This window comes from Homo sapiens, chromosome 6 (assembly GCF_000001405.40).
Source record: "Homo sapiens chromosome 6, GRCh38.p14 Primary Assembly".
Classification (NCBI taxonomy): Eukaryota; Metazoa; Chordata; class Mammalia; order Primates; family Hominidae; genus Homo; species Homo sapiens.
The window spans coordinates 75,795,632-75,815,405 of NC_000006.12; the positions used below are offsets into that span (position 1 = coordinate 75,795,632).

The 19,774-nt window shown below is 40.9% G+C and overlaps 1 protein-coding gene across 17 annotated transcripts in view, besides 2 other annotated features; it reads left to right on the top strand.

Moving 5' to 3' along the window:
• Positions 1-19,774, top strand: part of MYO6 (myosin VI) — a 170,299-nt gene that overhangs the window by 46,393 nt on the left and 104,132 nt on the right. For 2 of the 17 annotated variants that reach the window (XM_024446447.2, XM_047418836.1), the window contains exon 1: positions 17,973-18,057. The exons of the other annotated variants lie outside the window; for them this stretch is intronic. The gene's annotated coding sequence lies outside the window, so the exon portion shown is untranslated. Of the gene's footprint in view, positions 1-17,972; positions 18,058-19,774 lie in introns of those variants that run through there. 17 annotated transcript variants of the gene reach the window in all.
• Positions 17,340-18,230: an enhancer, noted in NCBI's record as "H3K4me1 hESC enhancer chr6:76522688-76523578 (GRCh37/hg19 assembly coordinates)". NCBI's record gives its function as "activates a minimal SCP1, AML or CMV promoter by ChIP-STARR-seq in primed H9 embryonic stem cells {active_cell/tissue: H9 hESC(primed)}" and the evidence as "EXISTENCE:reporter gene assay evidence [ECO:0000049][PMID:30033119]".
• Positions 18,231-19,121: an enhancer, noted in NCBI's record as "H3K4me1 hESC enhancer chr6:76523579-76524469 (GRCh37/hg19 assembly coordinates)". NCBI's record gives its function as "activates a minimal SCP1, AML or CMV promoter by ChIP-STARR-seq in primed H9 embryonic stem cells {active_cell/tissue: H9 hESC(primed)}" and the evidence as "EXISTENCE:reporter gene assay evidence [ECO:0000049][PMID:30033119]".

Consider the following 19,774-nt stretch of genomic DNA (forward strand, 5'->3'; position numbering starts at 1 on the left):
TATTGGCTACTTAGCAGAATTTTATAGAAATCTACTTTAAAAGAAACCTGACTCCCACCTAAACTTTGCCAACTGTTTGGATAAACTTTGTATTTTTATCCATGTTTTGAGAATCTGTTATATTACTGTATTTCTTTAATTTTACTAATCCGGCACATTTGTGCAAAATGTTAAATTGGAGGGCAAGTGATGAATAGATCTGATTTGAGGGTATTTACATTCCAACAGATTGGAACAGTCAGAAAAATCTAGTTGCTGAGTAATAGCATTATTAAAAGATGATTGCTCTACTGAATTTGCTTTTTAATGGGTTTATGACACAAAGTCCCATAAGATCTATGGATACTCAACAATCTGTATACATAAAGAATTAAATCTCTCATAGGTATGAAGTTTTCTTTTAATTTTATTTGAAATACCCAGTCAGTTATTAAATTACTTAATTCCTTGTTTATGAATTCACTAATTATTTGCTATTATCTGGTGCCCTGCTTTTGGTGCTTTTTTCCCACATCATATTAGATTATTGCCTACCATTCTGTTCTACCAGAGACCTTTCTAATATGGTCAGTGACCTTTCTAATATGCATATCTAATTAGGTGACCCTCAGTTGTCTGTAGAATAGAGTTAAGGCTGTTTACACCTTGGCATAGATCTGCCTTTATCTGTCAGGCTTTGTCTTCCACCATACTTTTTTCCCCCTTCTTCCTCTCAGTACACCCTCCAGTCTTACTAAGTAACATTTATGTCCAGTATTTCAGCTTTTAATTTCACATCTTTGAGTTTTTTTTTGAAAATTATAATTTCACCTTTTATTTTAGATACAGGGGTACATGTACAGGTTTGTTACATGGGTATACTGTGTGCTACTGAGGTTTAGGGTATAGATGATTTCATCACTCAGGTGGTGAGGACAGTACCCAATAGGTAGTTTTTTAGCCCTTTCCCCCTCCTTCTCTGCCCCCTCTAGTAGTCCCCAATGTCTATGACTCCCATCTTTTTTTTTTTTTTTTTTAATTGAGACGAAGTCTCACTATATTGCCCATGCTGGTCTTGAACTCCTGAACTCAAGCAGTCCTCTTGCCTTGGCCTCTCAGAGTGCTGGAATTACAGGCATGAGCCACCACACCTGGCATTGGCTCCCATCTTTATGTCCATGTGTACTCAGTGTTTAGTTCCCACTTGTAAGTGTGAACATATTGTATTTGGTTTTCTGTTCCTGTGTTAATTTCACTTGGGATAATGGCCTCCAGCTGCCTCCATGTTGCTGCAAAGGGCATTATTTCATTCTTTTTAATGGCTGCATAGTATTCCATGGTGTATGTGTACTATATTTTCTTTATCCAGTCCATTGTTTATGGACACCGAGGTTGATTCCATGTCTGTTGTGAATAGTGCTGTGATGAACATACAAGGGCATGTGTCTTTTCTTTTTCTGTGTGTGTATTTATTTATTTATTTAATTTTATTTTTTTGAGACAGAGTCTTGCTCTGTCACCCAGGCTGGAGAGCGGTGGCACAATGTCGGCTCACTTCAACCTCCACTTCCTGGGGTCAAGCGCTTCTCCTGCGTCAGCCTCCTGAGTAGCCGGGATTACAGGCATGCACCACCATGCTTGGCTAATTTCATTTGTATTTTTAGTAGAGACGGGGTTTCTTCATGTTGGTCAGGCTGATCTCGAACTCCCGACCTCAAGTGATCCACCCGCCTTGGCCTCCCAGAGTGCTGGGATTACAGGCGTGAGCCACTGCGTCCAGTGTGTGTATTTATTTTTAAGCAGGCATATTATGTTCAAAGAATGCATGTGTCTTTTTGGTAGAACGATTTATTTTCCTTTGGGTATATACCCAGTCATGTAATTGCTGGGTCAGATGGTAGCTCTGTTATATGTATTTTTTTTTAGTTTTTATTTTTTTTTGAGACTAAGTCTCACTCTGTTGCCCAGGTTGGAGTGCAGTGGCATGATCTTGGCTCAGTGCAACCTCCACCTTCTGGGCTCAAGCCATTCTCCTGCCTTAGATACCCGAGTAGCTGGGATTACAGGTGCCTGCCACCACGCCTGTCTAATTTTTGGATTTTTAGTAGGGACGAGGTTTCACCATGTTAGCCAGGCTGGTCTCAAACTCCTGACCTCAAGTGATCTGCCTGCCTCAGCTTTCCAAAATGCTGGGATTATAGGTGTGAGCCACTGTACCTGGCTGGTAACTCTGTTTTAAGTTTAGAAATCTCCAAACTGCTTTCCATAGTGGTTGAATTAATTTACATTCCAACCAACAGTATATAAGCATTCTCTTTTCTCTGCAGGCTTGCCAGCCTCTGTTGTTTTTTTACTTTTTATTAAAAGCCATTTAATTAGGTCCCACTTGTCAGTTTTTGTTTTTGTTGCAGTTGCTTTTGGGGACGGAGCCAAAAATTCTTAGCCAAGGCCAGTGTCAAGAAAGGTATTTCCTAGGTTTTCTTCTAGATTTTTATAGTTTGAGGTCTTATATTTGAATCTTTATAATCCATCTTGAGTTGATTTTTATATATGGTGAAAGGTAGGGGTCCAGTTTCATTCTTCTGCATATGGCTAGCCAGTTATCCCAGCACCATTTATTGAATAGAGAGTCCTTTTCCTATTGCTTGTTTTTGTTGACTTTGTCAAAAATCAGATGGTTGTAGGTGTGGGGCTTTATTTCTCTGTTCTCTATTCTGTCCCATTGGTCTGTCTGTTTTTGTACCAATACCATGCTGTTTTGGTTACTGTAGCCTTCCGTATAGTTTGAAGTCGGGTAGTGTGAATATACTGTGATCTAATAGGCTTTTATTCCTGGGATGTAAGGGTGGTTCAACATATGCAAATCAATAAATGTGATTCACCACATTGACAAAATTAAAAGCAAAAATCATTGGATCATCTCAATAGAGGCAGAAAAAGCTTTCTGTAAAATCCAGCATCCCTTCATAATAAAAACCTTCAACAGACTAGGCATCAAAGGAACATAACTGAAAATAATGAGTTGTCTATGATAAACCCATAGCCAACATTGGACTGAACAGGCAAAAGCTGAAACTATTCTCCTTGAGAACAGGAGCAAGACAAGAATGCTTACTCACACCACTCTTATTCTGGAAGTCCTAGCCAGAGCAGTCAGGCAAGAGAATAAATAAAAGGTATTCAAATAGGAAAAAAGAAGTCAAACTGTCTATCTTTGCTGATGATACATTCTATATGTGGAAAACCCTGAAGTTTCTCCCAAAGACTCCAAGAACTGATAAATGACTTCAGTAATGTTTCAGGACACAAAATAAATGTGCAAAAATAAGTAGTATTTCTAAACAGCAGTGACGTTCAAGCTGAAAGTCAAATCAAGAACACAATCCCGTTTACAACAGCCACATAGACAAAACGAAATACTTAAAAATATAGCTAACCAAGGAGGTGAAAGACCTCTACAAGGAGAACCACAAAACACTTCTGAAAGAAATCAGAAAACCAGGCGCGGTGGCTCATGTCTGTAATCCCAGCACTTTGGGAGGCCAAGGCGGGTGGATCACCGGAGGTCAGGAGTTCCGAGACCAGCCTGGCCAACATGGTGAAACCCCATCTCTACTAAAAATACAAAAACTAGCCAGGTGTGGTGGCAGGCCCCTGTAATCCCAGCTACTAGGGAGGCTGAGGCAGGAGAATTGCTTGAACCCAGGAGGTGGAGGTTGCAGTGATTCGCGATCTTGCCATTGCCTTCCACCCCGGACGACAAGAGCAAAACTCTGTCTAAAAAAAAAAAAAAAAAGTATTTTACTTTGGTCCTTGATTTATGTGACACACCTAGGTTAAGGAAGAACAAACATGTTTGTAGGCAAGAGAGTCTCATTTTTGTAATTCATCATCAACTTTTGAAATGTTAAAATTAATATTTAAAAAGTATTAGCTCTAGCGAGTCAATAAGGCAAGCAAATATATAGACTTGTTTGTAAAGCAAGAAAATATTTACTTTCTTTTTTTCCCTTTGAATTTACTTACTACAAGGTAGGGTTTGTGTGTAGCCTAGAGTTTGAACCTTCATTTCAAGGAATGAAATGAAACAAGATGGCTCTTGTTTCTTGATTTTTGCCTGTTTTTTGAGCCTAAGTTAGTGTTCTCAAATGGGGAAAAGATGAGAAGGAGAGGGTAGGTGTAGACTAACTTTACCCATGTTACAGTGCTTTGGGATAGAAGCATAGCACTGCTTCTCTGAGTATTTCCTGCTTCCCCCCAGGCATTTGAGTACCTGGGATATTATCACTTTAGTTATTCCCCTTCCCCCAATAATTAATTCCAATTCTTTTAATGGCAGTGGTGGTAACTTTAAGACTTTAGGAGTTTCTAGGATCTTATTTCTATGTGTGGTTTAGTTTTTTATTTAGAAAGAATGTGCTTTTCTTTTTTGTTTAGGATGAAAAATACTAATTTTTTTTCTGGTGCTATGCCTGACACATATTGGGAATTCAATAAATGTTTGTAGAATGCATTTGTAATAATTTCACTTCATGGTTCAACCCCCCTCCAGACTCTACTCTCCCCAAACAGTCCCGTAATAAGAGTGAGCCCTTACTTTCACGAAAGAAAATTCAAAATTGGTATGCGGCTGAACAAAGGTAAGTGAGTCAACATAATCACTCAGAAGCACCATACAGTGTGTTTCCCAACACAATTAAGAGGAGACAGGACCTGGGAGCTGCCGAGAAGTACAGAGGCTTCCATCTCAAGGGCCTTCAGTTACAAGTGGATGTCCTTAATGTATTTTCAGTATTTCACAAAGCCTGATGGAGGGTTTATATTTGCTATGATTAAGCTGAAGTAGGCTAAGGTGTCAGATTTCTTACTGGAGTAATACCCAGCCTGGGTGACAGAGTGAGACCCTGTCTCAAAAAAAGAAAAAGAAATTGTCATTTAATAAGAAGAGGATCACTATGAACGAAACAAATTTAAACGGGGAGCTAGGAGGTCAGTTTAGGATATGAAAAGTTTGAGATGGCTGTTGATTTCCTAAGTAGTGATATTGAATAGGCTATGTGCTCTAGATGTCTGGAGTTAGGAGAGAGGTATAAGTTGGAGATAGAAAATGGGGCATTACTATTTTTTTGAGACAGGGTCTCACTCCATTACCCAGGCTGGAGTGCAGTGGCACAATCTTGACTCACTACAATCTCCATCCCCCAGGTTCAAGCAGTTCTCGTGTGTCAGCCACCTGAATAGCCGGAATTACAGGTGCATGCCACCACACCCGGCTAATTTTTGTATTTTTAGTAGAGATGGGATTTCCCCATGTTGGCCAGGCTGGTCTTGAACTCCTGAGCTCAAGTTATCCACCTGCCTCTGCCTTCTGAAGTGCTGGCATTACAGGTGTGTGAGCCACCGTGCCTGGCCACATGGGGCGTTATTAGCATATTAATAACATTGATGCCATGATTAGCCATATGGATAATGTTTAAAGCCGTAAGACTAGATGTATTACTTTGTTTTCACACTTTATAAAGAACTTCCCTGAGACTGGGTCATTTATAAAGGAAAGAGGTTTAATTGACTCACAGTTTTGTATGGCTGGGGAGGTGTCAGGAAATTTACAATCATGGCAGAAAGTGAAGGGGAAGCAAGCACCTTCTTCACAAGGTGCTTCACAGAAAAGAGGAGGGAGAAAGAGAAGAGCGGGGAGAGGAGGGAAAGAGAGGGACGAGAGGAGAGGAGGAGGAGGGAGGAGAGGAGAGGAGGGGTGGTTGTTCTTGCATGGCTTAAGAAGGAATAGGATCTGGTGGGTGAGTAGCGACTGGTTTTAGATAGGAGTAAGAATAATTTGGACTTAGTAACAGAATGAAAGGAAGACTGTATGGGCACAGATGCAGCTTGATATGTAGAGGTGGTGGTGAGAGCTTAATTTTTTTTTTTATGAGAAAACTTGCATTTGCATTTTCAGAGATAGTTTAGTAGAATACTGTCTTCAAAGCATGTTGTGGAGTGGAGTTGAAAGTTAAAGTGGCCCTTGGAAATCTGAAAAAATAATTTGAGGGCTGGGCACAGTGGCTCATGCCTGTAATCCCAGCACTTTGGGAGGCCAAGGCGGGTGGATCACCTGAGGTCATGACCTCAAGACCAGCCTGGCCAACCTGGTGAAACCCCGTCTCTACTAAAAATACAAAAATTAGCTGGGTGTGGTGGCAGGCGCCTGTAATCCCAGCTACTCAGGAGGCTGAGGCAGGAGAATCACTTGAACCTGGAAGGTGGAGGTTGCAGTGAGCTGAGATCACGCCATTGTACTCCAGCCTGGGCGACAGAGCAAGACTTCATCTCAAAAAAAAAAAAATGTGATTCTCATCTTATAGAATATCTGAATATACTTATTGCATAATTTGTATGTCAATTAAGAAAGAATAATATATTTTATAATTGATTCAAGAAATGAAAAATTTCAGTGAAAATTTCCAATTCTTTTGATTGTCTCTCTGATTCTCAGGGAGTCATTTAAATGCAATACTAAGCGGAAGACAAAATTAACTCCCTGTAAAAAGCATGTTTACCTTTTAAAAATATTTCTTTGGCTGGGCATGGTGGCTCGTGCCTGTAATCCCAGCATTTTGGGAGGCCGAGGTAGGCGGATCATCTGAGGTCAGGAGTTTCAGTCCAGCCTGGCCAACATGGTGAAATCCTGTCTCTACTAAAAATACAAAAATTAGCTGGGCGTGGTAGCGCGTGCCTGTAATCCCAGCTACTTGGGAGGCTGAATCAGGAGAATTGCTTGAACCCGGGAGGTGAAGGTTGCAGTGACCCGAGACTGCGCCACTGGACTCTAGTCTGGGTGACAGAGCGAGACTCAGTATCAAAAAAAAAAATTTTTTTTTTTTTTTTTTTAATGAGACTGAGTCTCGCTCTGTCACCCAGGCTGGAGTGTAGTGGCATGATCATGACTCACTAGCCTCAACATCCCAGGCTGAAGTGATCCTTCCACTTCAGCCTCCCACCACGCCAGCTGGGACCACAGGCATGCACCACTTCACCCAGCTAGTTTTTGTATTTTTTGTAGAGACAGGGATCTCACTTTGTTGCCCAGGCTGGTCTTGAACTCTTGGGCTCAAGCAATCTCTCCAGCTTGGCCTCTCAAAGTTCTGGGATTACAGGCATGAGCCACTGCACCTGGTGGAAAAATCTCTTAAACCTAGCACAAATTACAGAACTAGGTAACTTCTGGGTGTATCATTGGATAATAAACAAGATTAGTCACAGCATATGGAATATTTAAATCACCTGGGATGAATATCTTGCTATTATATTCTGATACTTTAATATCTGTGAAAGAAATTTTGACTAGGTAAACTGGGATGTTTAGTCTCTTAAAAATACAGGGCTTTTTCTGAAAAAGTCTACTTTTTGTCCATATTATTGTAATAACGATTGCATATATTATATGAATTATGTCTAAATCCAAATCTGTCTTGTGATGGTAATTTACGCAGGTGTTTATATTTGAAATATAGTTTATGATTTCTTCTCTGAAAATCTGTAAGAAAATCATATAATCAGTTCTCACAATTCAGATTGTATTGTATTTATAGTAATTTTCCTGGTATCAGTTCCAAATCACGTATTTTAAAATATTTCATAGTAAGCTTATTAATGACATACTTGCTTTTTTTTTTATCCCCTTTTTTTGTTAGCACATCAATCTTAACTATACCAGTTAAGTTAGTGGTGGTGTTCACTGTTTTAAGAATCAAGTGATAGCAGACTTAGCTTTAAGCATTGATTGCTACATTGGAGTTTCCTAGGTTATACTTGGAAGTCACTTTGTGAAAAGGTCATACATCAGGACCAGGGCCATAATCAACTAGACTTTCAGAAGGGGTGTCATAGCTGGAATGGACATTTGTCTTATTTTGAGAAACAGTTGATCTGCGTATTTTGTCATCAGTATCTCAGCCTAAAGCAGTGCCTGGTACTTAGCAGGTGCTCAGTAAATATTCATTGAAAAAAAAATCAAAATTACTTCTTAATTAAATTGTGGTAGTTAATTTTTAGATATTGTTAATGTTCAGATATTTTCTTCTTTGTCCCGAGTTTGGACTTAGTGATGGGTCTTTTCTTTCCATTGTTAATAAAAGTTTATTGCTGATAAAACCAAGATATTCACAATAAGTTCAGTACTTATGTTCAATTAATACTATATCATAGCAATAAAAAACCCAAATTTTGTACAACTAGCTGAAGATTAACTTGGATATATTTTCTAGGGAGGCTTTTTCTTTTTGTTTTTTGTTTTTGATTTGTGACACAGGATCTTGCTCTGTCACCCAGGCTGGAGTACAGTGGCACGATCATGGCTCACTGCAGCCTTGGCCACCTGAGCTGAAGCTATTCTTCCGCCTCAGCCTCTTAAGTAGCTGTGACTGCAGGTGTGTACTGACATGCCTGACTAATGTTCATGCTTTTGGTGGAGACAAGGTCCCACTATGTTGCCCAGAGTGGCTTTGAACTCTTGGACTCAAGTAATCCTCCTGCCTTGGGCCTTTTCAAGGTAATTTACTGACTAAAGGGAACCCTGCTGAAATGTTTTTGAGAATGATTCAATTCCTGAACTTTGGTTCGGGAACCGAAATGCTTGATAAAAGATTGTGCTAGGTGCACACAAAACTTACTAGCCACAGCCAACTGTTAACCTTGTGCCCCATTTTCTCACAGTATCTGGATACCAGGGAAGCTAATAGCCTTAGGATACACTGATAGAGGTGAGAGGAGTTGCCGGTTTAAAACTTGTATGCCAAAGGTGCACATAACATTGTTTTGAGCAGCAAGGCCAGGGCTTGGCCAGATGAAAGAGTAATCTTTTTAAAGGCAAACTTGATAGATCTACCCCACCCCTTCATACTCCCCTCCACTGGAATTTAAGATCCCTGAGGGCAGGGATTTTGCCAATTCTGTTTACTCTTCTATTCTAACTGATTGTTTTCCTATTAGCTAGAAGGCTCCCTGAGGCCAGATACCTTGTCTCTTTTTGCTCACCTTTATACCCCCAACACCTGGCAGTATGTGGTACATGGTAGGTGGCTAAATAAATAATAGTTAACAGAATAAATGACTCCGTAAGGCAGTCTTGGAAGGATTCTGTTTGCCATATGCTTTCTCCTTTTTGGTGTCTTATTCTAGCACTTACAGCCAAAACCCAAATTACTTTTAGTTGGTACTTAATGTCTAATACCCTAACATATATATACACATATATATGCGCATATATATATACACACACACACATATATATACATATATACACACATATATAATATATACACATATATACATATATACACATATGTACACATATATACACATATATACACACACATATATATATACACACACACATATATATATATATATATATTTTTTTTTTTTTTTTTTTTGAGACAGAGTCTCACTCTGTCAACCCAGGCTGGAGTGCAGTGGCATGATCTTAGCTCACTGCAACCTCTGCCTCGTTGGTTCAAGTGATTCTCGTGCCTCAGCCTCCCAAGTAGCTGGGATTACAGGTGCAGCTAGAATGCCTGGCTAATTTTTGTATTTTTAGGAGCAATGGGGTTTCACCGTGTTAGCCAGGCTGGTCTCGAACTCCTGCCTCGGCCTCCCAAAGTGTTGGGATTACAGGTGCGAGCCACAGTGCCCGGCCTTAACCTAACTATATTTCTAAAAGGGTAACTTTTGAAAATAATGGTGACATGGCAGGCAACAGCTCATGTTTTGTGATATGAATCTGCCTATTCTGCCTGTAGTATTTAATACATAGATGTTATTGGAGTTATCATTGGAGATGCAGATAAAAGAGAATATAGTGGTGTATGTTTTTGTTACTCTTGCCTGCAATAAGTTTGCTCCCCAGGGAGCCTCCTGGTGATATACTTTTAACCTTTTGACACAGAAGAAATGAAAAATTAGTGTAGTAGCTTTGAAAAGCCACGATTGCCTTCTGTGGATTACATGGTGCTTCTGTGGATTACTTCTACACATTACTATAGTGTTTGCATTAAAAATACATTATCAATTGTCAATTAAGTACTAAAAGTAAGATAATTTTCAGTTGATGATGGGGAATTATCTCTCTTAGAATAACTAAGAATTTCCAAGATTTAAAATTTCCTTAACCCCAATAATTCTTATTATTTTTTTCTTTTAGTATTTGTGCAAAGTATATGTAGTTAGAAAGTTAGAATGTGTTTAAGACTTCTAGTACAATAGCACTGGGAATTGAGACTGTCTTAAAAATTTCCCTTATAGTGAGTGAGTATCTTTTTAAGTACTCTTCATATGCAAACATGTTTAGTTAGAATGAATATTGACCACATGGATTTTCTGAAAGATTTTTCTGGGAACAGATATTAACATATCTGAAAGAATTTTGTCATCTTTGGTGGGGTGAATAAATCAGACTTCATTAATGAAGGATAATTTGTATTTAAATATTTAGGATTCCAAAAACAATTAAATGAAGACATTAAAAAAAGAGGTTTATTCTAGTGAAAACCTTGCACTAGATACAAAGTAATACTTAATTTAAGCCTGGGCAACATGGCAAAACCTCTTCTCTACTAAAAATACAAAAAAATTAGCTGGATGTGGTGGCACATGCTTGTAGTTCCCAGCCATTTGTGAGGCTGAGGCATGAGAATTGCTTGAACCTGGGAGGCAGAGGTTGCAGTGAGCTGAGATCATGCCACTGCACTCCAGCCTGGGCAACAGAGCAAGACTCTGTCTCAAAAAAAAAAAAAAAATTAATAGAAGGGGGAAGTGAGTGTCCATGGCTTCTTCCAGGCAGAAGTACATCATTATCACATAGAATAAGACATGTTCAGATTGTTGGGAACAAGCGCCCCAAAATCTGGCCATAAACTGGCACCAAAACTGGCCATAAACAAAATCTCTGCAGCACTGTGACATGTTCATGATGGCCATAACGCCCATGCTGGAAGGTTGTGGGTTTACTGGAATGAGGGCAAGGAACACCTGGCCCGCCCAGGGCGGAAAACTGCTTAAAGACATTCTTAAGCCACAAACAATAGCATGAGTGAGCTGTGCCTTAAGGACATGTTCCTGCTGCAGATAACTAGCCAGACCCACCCCTTTATTTAGGCCCATCCTATACTTTTAGTTAATCTAATGTCTGTAGAAACAATGCTAATGACTGGCTTGCTGTTAATAAATACGTGGGTAAATGTCTGTTCGGGGCTCTCAGCTCTGAAGGCTGTGAGACCCTTGATTTCCCACTTCACACCTCTATATTTCTGTGTGTGTGTGTGTCTTTAATTCCTCTAGTGCCACTGGGTTAGGGTCTCCTGACAGAGCTGGTCTCAGCACAGATAAAAAACTGAACTGGGCCACAGTCATTTGGGCAGTGACTGTCTTTGATGACAGTGCTCAGCGTGGCTGTCTCTTGGATCATATTGTTCCAATCTGGACTGGGAGTTTGCCTCTGTATAGAGTTCTAGGTTAGAATTAATTTTCCTCCAGAATTTTAAAAACATTGTTTTATTTACTTACTGCTTTGAGTGTTGTTGAAGCCATTGTGATTAATGATCCTTAGAAGGACCTGTTCTTTTTTCTTCTTTTCTCACTAATCTCTCTGGAAATATGTAGCACATTTTATTTATTTCTGGTGTTCTGAAATTTGACAGTGGTGTCTCTGTGTGTCTGTTTTCTAGTACACTGTTGAGGACTCCATGGAAATTTTGACTAGACTCTAGAAAATCATGTCTTTTGGTTCTGGTATATTTTCTTTGGATATTTCAAAGCCTTCTTCCTCTCTCTTTGGGGAGTGGGCATGTGGAGGGATTTTTTTTTCCTGGTATTTTGATGCTGGATTATTTTTACTAGTCTCATATTCACATTTTATTTTCCTTTTTATCTTTTCCCCCTATTTTCTATTGTTACAGGAAAGGGGTCCTGATCCAGACCCCAAGAGAGAGGGTTCTTGGATCTCACACAAGAAAGAATTTCAGACGAGTCCATAAAGTGAAAGGAAGTTTATTTAGAAAGTAAAGGAATAAAGAATAGCTCCTCCACAGACAGAGCAGCCCCAAAGGCTGCTGGCTGCCCATTTTTATGTTTATTTCTTGATTATACTACCAGAGATCTCTCTTGTTGCCATCTTGGTTTTGATGGGTTTTAGCCAGCTTCTTTACTGCAGCCCGTTTTATCAGCAGGGTCTTTATGACCTGTGTCTTCTGCTGACCTCCTCTCTCATCCTGTGACTTAGAATGCCTTAAATGTCTACAAACCAGTAGGTTTTAGCCTTATTTTACCCACCTCCTATTCAAGATGGAGTTGCTCTGGTTCACATGCCTCTGACGCTCTTCCATTTTATCTTAACTCTGAAAGGTTGCCTCGTCTTTATCTTCTATAGCTTCTAGTGAATATTTCATTTCTATTATTATGTTGTTAAAGAAAAATTATTCTAACACTTGTTAAAACAGCAAGGAATACTTTATTCAAGGACTCTTGTGGTAGGGGTGGTATTAGTCTGCTAGAAGTGTAGACTGCTCAGGCTGCCGTAATAAAATACCACAAACGTTTGTATTCTGACACAGAAATTTAGTTTTTTCACAGTTTTGTAACCTGGATATCTGACGTCAGTGTGTCACCGTGGTTGGGTTCTGATAAGAGCACTTTTCCTGGCTTATAGATGGCAGCCTTTTCTCTGTGTGTTCCCTTGGCCTTTCCATGGTGCATGTACTCGGACAGAGATCTATTTCTCTCTCTTCCTCTTATTATATGGCCACCAATCCTATCTGATTAGAACCCTACCCTTCTGACCTCATTTAATCTTAATTACCTCCTGAAAGCCCTGTCTCCAAATACAGAGACATTGAGGGTTAAGGCTTAAACATATGAATTTGGGGGGAACAAAATTCAGTCCATAGCAGTACTTTCAGTTCATATGAAGGGGTATTGCAGTAGGTGGGAGAGATGGGCCTCAACTCCTGAATATGGCAGAGACAGCTGGGGATTGTGAACCCAGAATATCTAAGACAGGTCTCAACCAATTTAGAAAGTTTATTTTGAAACCAATTTAGAAAGGTTAAGGATGCACCTGTGACTCAGCCACAGGAGGTTCTGAGGACATGTACCCAAGGTGGTCAGGGCACAACTTGGTTTTATATGTTTTAGGTAGACATGAGACATCAATTAATTTCTGTAAGATGTACATTAGTTTCATCTGGAAAGGTGGGTAAACTCAAGGCAGGGGGAGGGGACTTCCAAATCATAGGTAGATAAGAGACAAACTATTGCATTCTTTTGAGTCTCTGATTAGCCTTTCACAGAATACACAATTTACAGGTGAGAGGAGGGTAGAGGAAATAATCTTATGCCCTAGTCTGGCTTAGTGAAACAATATGGCAGAAGAAGCAATGAGATATGCGTTTGTCTCACATGAGCCTCAGCGAGATGACTGAGTTCTGGCTGTCCTTCATCCACAAGGAATTTCCATGTGGGCAAATTGTGAGGGAGGCATGTAACTTTTTAAAAAATGTTTGTAGCTATCTTGTTTAGGAATAAAATGGGAGGCAGGCCTGCCTGACATAGTCCCCAGCTTGACTTTTTCCTTGGCTTAGTGATGTTGGGGTTCCGAGATTTTTTTCCTTTCACAGGATTTACAGCCAAGGAACAGAGCGAGTGGATCAGTGGATGGAAAATTATTCATGGAGACATCAAGGGCATGGAAAGTCTTGCCATACTGACTTAACAGGATTTTTGCTGAAGGCAGGTCAAGGACTTAGAGTGTTAATGGAAAAAGCAAACTGTAAAATATTTAAAGAGGTTTATTCAGAGCCAATATGAACGACTATGGCCCGATGAACAGTCTCAAGAAGTCCTGAGAAAGTGTGTGTGAGGTGGTTGGGTTATAATTTGGTTTTATACATTTTAGGAAGGCAGGAATTACAGGCGAAGACATAATACGTGGAAGGTATATATTGATTCTGTCTCTGCCTGAAAACTGGGAAATCTCGAAGTGGGGGGGTGGTGGAATGGGGAGCTTATGGGTCATAGGTGGATTCAAAGATTTTCTGATTGGCCGTTGAAAGAGTTAAGCTTTGTCTAAAGACTGGAAGTCAGTAGAAAGAAATGCTCGAGGTAAGATAAGGGGGATGTCAGCCCGGCGTGCTGGCTGAGGCTTGTAATCCCAGCACTTTGGGAGGCCGAGCCAGGTGGATCACTTGAGGTCAGGAGTTCAAGACCAGTCTGGCTAACATGATGAAACCTTGTCTCTGCTAAAAAAAAAAAAAAAACAAAAAAAAAAGCAAAAATTAGCTGGGCGTTGTGGCAGGTGCCTGTAGTCCTAGCTCCTGTAGAGGCTGAGGCAGGAGAATTGCTTGAACCCTGGAGGCGGAGGTTTCAGTGAGCCCAGATTGCCCCATTGCCCTCCAGCTTGGGCAACAAAGTGAGACTCTGTCTCAAAAAAAAAAAAAAAAAAAGATCCATAGATGTTGAGGTTCTTGTTATGTAGAGAAGCTTCATAGGTAGCAGGCTACAGAGAGAATGATGGTAAATGTCTCTTTTCAGACCTTAAAAGATGTCAGACTTAGGTAATCTCGCCCAGATCCATCCTGGAAATGCCTGGCTGCATTAATTACTATGAAATTCTCTACAGATGCAAATTTCCTCCACAAAAGACAGCTTTGCAGGGCCATTTCAAAATATGTCAAAGAAATATATTGTGGAGTAAAATATTTGATTCTCTTCAGGGTCTGATATCTGGCATGTGATGCTGTACCAGAGTCAGGTTGAAATGTGTCTTATTGCTGCAAAGAATCTGTTTTGTCAGTCTTATGATCTCTATTTTAATGTTATTATTTGTCAGTTGTGCCTAAATTCCAAAAGGGAGGGGGGTATAATGAGGCATGTCTGACCTCCCTTCCTGTCTTGGCTGGGAATTCAGTTTTTCAAGTTCCTCTGGGTTTCCCCCATCCAAGAGGGATCCCCATTCAGTTGGTTAGGGGCTTAGGATTTTATTTTTGGTTTATGACATGAAAGGTGGGGGATGGGAACTGGATCAAGTATCAGGGGTCGGGGAGTCTATCTAAATTGATTTAGCAGGATTCTTGCTAAAACTGGGCTGTGCAGGCCTGTCAAGAGATAGAACGGAGTTAAGGCCAAGGTTGAGGCCTAGCCTAGTTGAGGAGAGGCCTCAGAGGAGCCTAATTAAAGTTGGTTGGTCAAGGAGAGAGTCTTGGCCAGGTGCAGTGGCTTATGCCTGTAATCCCGGTTACTCAGAAGGCTGAGGTGGGAGGATTGCCTGAGCCCAGGAGTTCGAGGCTGCAGTGACCTATGATTGTGCCATTGCACTCCAGCCTGGGTGAAAAAGTGAGACCCTATCTCCTAAGCAGTTTTGTTTTTTTTTTGGCATACCCATAATTGTTTTTGGTGTTTCTCATTCCAGAGTCTTCTCCAGAGAACAGGTTCTAGACTTCTCTTGGTGGGGGTGGTGGGGATTGGGGTAGGGGGGCAGTTTTTCCATCAATATGGAGTTTGTGTGGTTGGTGTGAGGAAATCTCTCTCAGAAAACTTTCACCTAGTTTTCCTTATTTTAGATTTCTTTTCACCCTTGTTCTGGAACCTTGTACTGAATTTCTTGTATCTTTTGAGGATTCTGTAGTATAATTTGGGTTGGTTTTCATATTTTCGAATTCATGCCTTGAAATTCAGCTCTCTTGTGGTTGCTGTTGGTTGCCTCTCAACCATTTGCTTTCCAAATTAGAAAATGCTTCTGTTTTCTCCTTTTTGCTTCTCTCCATCCTCATGGGCTGATGTGTTTGTAAAGAATCCCTGTACTGTAGATAAAGGGCTTTGATGAAGGAGCAATGTTAGCTGTGTGTGTGCCTTTAAATTTGTTACCTTAACTGGGAAGTCATAGTTAACAGTTGAAAATAGGAAAGTAGTTCGAAGTTTAATTTGCCATTCTTTTTTGGACTTTGGGAGTTTTGCTTTGCTGTGATTTTTCTTTTCTTTTTTTTCACTGTCACAAATTTTACACACAGTGATTTCAGGTAATTTTTCCTAAATGATCCCTCCTGTCTATTCTGTAATTTCTGTTTGTATTTAAAATTACCACAACTATTGTCTTGAAACTGACTGGTGGCTTCAAACAAGGGATATAGTGGGGAAGGAAAAGAGAAAGGGGGAGGGGTATGCCTAGTATCTTTTGGGTGCCAGTAGAACAGTGATCTCAGTTTTATGTCACTTAATCCTCACAGCAGTTCTGAAAGGTAAGTGATATCCCACCATATGGATAAGGACAAAGATAAAAATCGAAGAGGTTAAATAACTTACTTAAGAGCTTGTTAGAAAGTGGTGGAGCTGAGTTTCAAGCCTAGGTTTTTTTTTCTGTTTTTTGTTTTTTGTTTTTCCAGAGACAAGGTCTTACTCTGTCTCCCAGGCTGGAGTGCAGTGGCACAATGATAGCTTACTGCAACTTTGAACTCCTGGATTCAAGTCATCCTCCTGCCTCAGCCTCCTGAGTAGCCAGAACTACAGGGCTATGCCATCATTCCTGGCTAATGTTTAAAATTTTTGATTTTTGTAGAGGTGGAGTCTTGCTGTGTTGTTCAGGCTGGTCTTGAGCTCCTAGGATCAAGTGATCCTCCCACTTCGGCTTCTCAAAGTGCTTTTTTTAAAAATTAAATTTTTTTTGTGTGTGTTGATACATAGTAGGTGTGTATATTATGGGGTACATGAGATATTTTGATACAGGCGTACAGTGTGCCATAATCACATTGGGGTAAATGAAGTACCCAGCAACTCAAGGATTTATTCTTTCTTTGTACCACAACGATCCAAGTATACTATTTTAGTTATTTTTAAATGACAGTAAGTTACTATTGACTGTAGTCACCCTCTTGTGCTATCAAGTACTAGATTTTATTAATTCTAACTATATTTTTGTACCCATTAACCATCCCTACTCCCCACCCCACTACCTTCCCAGCCTCAGGTATCATTCTACTCCCTATCTTCATGAGTTCAATTGTTTCAGTTTTTTTTTTAGCTCCCACAGATACGTGAGAACATGTGAAGTTTTCCTTTCTTTGTCTGATGTGTTTCATTTAATGTAATGACCTCCAGTTCCATCCATGTTGTTGTAAATGACAGGATCTTTCTTTTTCATGGCTGAATAATACTCCACTGTATATATGCACCATGTTGTCTTTATCCATTCTTCTGTTCATGGGCACTTGGGTTGCTTCCAGATCTTGGCTACTGAGTATAGTGCTGCAGTAAAAATGGGAGTGCAGTTATCTCTTCAATATACTGATTCCTTTCTCTTGAGTTCCTAGCAGTGGGATTGCTGGATCATATGGTCATTATATTTTTAGTTTTTTAAGGAACCTGCAAACTGTTCTCCATAGTAGTTATATTAAATGGTTTTACAATTATAGTTTTAGAATATTCTGTGTACTTACTATTACCAGTGAGTTTTGTACCTTCAGATGATTTCTTCTTGTTCATTAAGCCCTTTTCTTTTGGATTGATGCCACCTGGGAGGCAGGGCCTGGAATCAAGAACCTTAGAAATCTATCTGCTGCTGTATTCTGAAGCTGAGCTGGCACCCAAGCCACAGATCAAGTTCTTCCCACTCTTTTCTCCTCTTTCCTCAAGCAAAGAGTCTCTCTGCATGGCCACCACCATCCCAAGCCCATGGCAAGTACAGCCTGGCTACTGCCGATGTTCACTCAAGGCCCAAGAGTTCTCCAGTCAGTTCGTGGTGGATGCTGCCAGTGCTGAATCTCCTGCTTTAGAACAGTGGGCTCCCCTTTGGCCCAGGGCACATCCAGAAATGCCATCCAAGAGTCAAGGCCGGGGATCAGGGACCCCAGGAGCCCGCTTGGTGCTCGTTAACCCACTCTGGCTGAGCTGGTACCCAGGCTGCCAGACAAAGTCCCCCTTACTCTTCCCTTTCCTTTCCTTATTCAGAGGCAGTCTCTCCCCATGGCCACCACAGCTGGGAATGTGCTGGGTCATACCTGAAGCCAGCATAGCTCTCAGTCTCACCTGTGACCCGTGGTGAGTATTGCCTGGCTACCACTGCTGACTGTTCAGGCCCCAGGGGCTCTTTAGTCAGCAGGTGATGAATTCTGCTGGGACTGGGTTCTTCCCCCCAAATCAGTGAGTTATCTTCTGCCTAGGATGTGTTTAGAAATGCCCAGGAGCTAGGGCCTGGAATGGGGGCCTCAGGACCTGCCCTGTTCTCTATTCTACTGGGACTGAATTGGTTGGTATCCAGGTTGCAAGACAAAGTCCCCTTTACCCTTCCCTCTTCGCCTCTCAAACGGAGGGAAGGAGTCTTTAATAGAGCTGTGAGTTGCACTCCTGGCCGCCCAGCTGGTGTTCTCACTAGGTCACATGCTCCCCAAACCCGGTGGCTCTGAGCCTATCATAGCACCAGGACTTGCCCAGAAAATGCAGTCCTTGTGGTCTAGACTGCTTTTCAAGTTTATTTAGGACCCCAGAACAATTTAGCCTGCAGTGGGGCTTGCTGAGATGAACTATTTGCCTCTGGCTAGGGCTTCTGTAAATGCTCTGTTTGTGATCTCTCCCTCCCACAAGCCTGTAGATTCTCTCACCATACCACCATTGCTGCTGCCAAGGGGTGGGGAGAGAGAGGGTGGTGCTGAGAGTTGAAGACTGGTTTTGCTCCCCTCTCCAGTGCCTCTTTCTTTGATGTGATGTTAAAACCAGGGACTGGTTTTAACTGGTACATTGCTCACCTGATTTTTTGTTCTTATGAAGATGCTTTTTTTGGGTGGATAGTTGTTCAATTTGGTGTTCCTGAAGGGGAAGTGATTGCTGGAGCCTTCTATTAAGCCATCTTGCTCTGTCTCCTTACCCTAAAGTGTTTTGATTACAAGTGTGAGCCACCGTTCCTGGCTGAGCGTAGGATTTGAAGATATTTCAGGATGAGCACAGTGGCTCACGCCTGTAATCCCAGCACTTTGTATGGTTGAGGCAGGTTGATTGCTTGAGCCCAGGAGTTCGAGACCTGCCTGGGCAACACAGTGAGACCCTGTATATAAAAAAATAAAAATTACAAAAATTACCTGCATGCACCTGATGGTCCCAGCTACTTGGGAGGCTGAAATAGGAGAATGTCTTGAACGTGGGAGGTCAAGGTTGCAGTGAGCCATGATTGCATCACTGTGCCACTGCACTATGGCCTGGGTGATAGAAAGACCCAGTCTCAAAAAAAAAAAAAAAAGATATTTCAATTCTTCTAAGTCTACACCTGCTTTTACTCTTCCAAAACTGTGTGAACAATTCATTCATTTACCAGTGAATATTGAGTTGCTTACTGTGTGCTGGGCCTTAGGGACACAGAGAGGAGTAGTCCAAGTCCTGATGAAACAGAAATGAAATGATTAGATTTACCTTTTGGTAGGATTACCAGTGATATGTGTGAAGTGGCACGAGTAGAAGCAGGCAGCTGAGTTAATTACAGAAGTCCTGGTAAAAGATGATGTTCATTTGAACTAAGACGGTAGAGGAGATGCAGAGAAGGAGTTGGATTTGTGATCCCTATTGGAGGTAAAGCTGACAACATTAAGGAAGTGATATGAATTTGGAAGGAGCTCAAGGGATTGGGGATGATTTCGGGTTTGATTTGAAGGAGTGCTGTTAGTGCCTTCACTGATACTAAGGAAGAGCAAGCTGGAGTGGTAGACCATGGCAATAATAACATAATAATTATGTTACACCTATTAGATACATTCATGAAGAGGTGTCC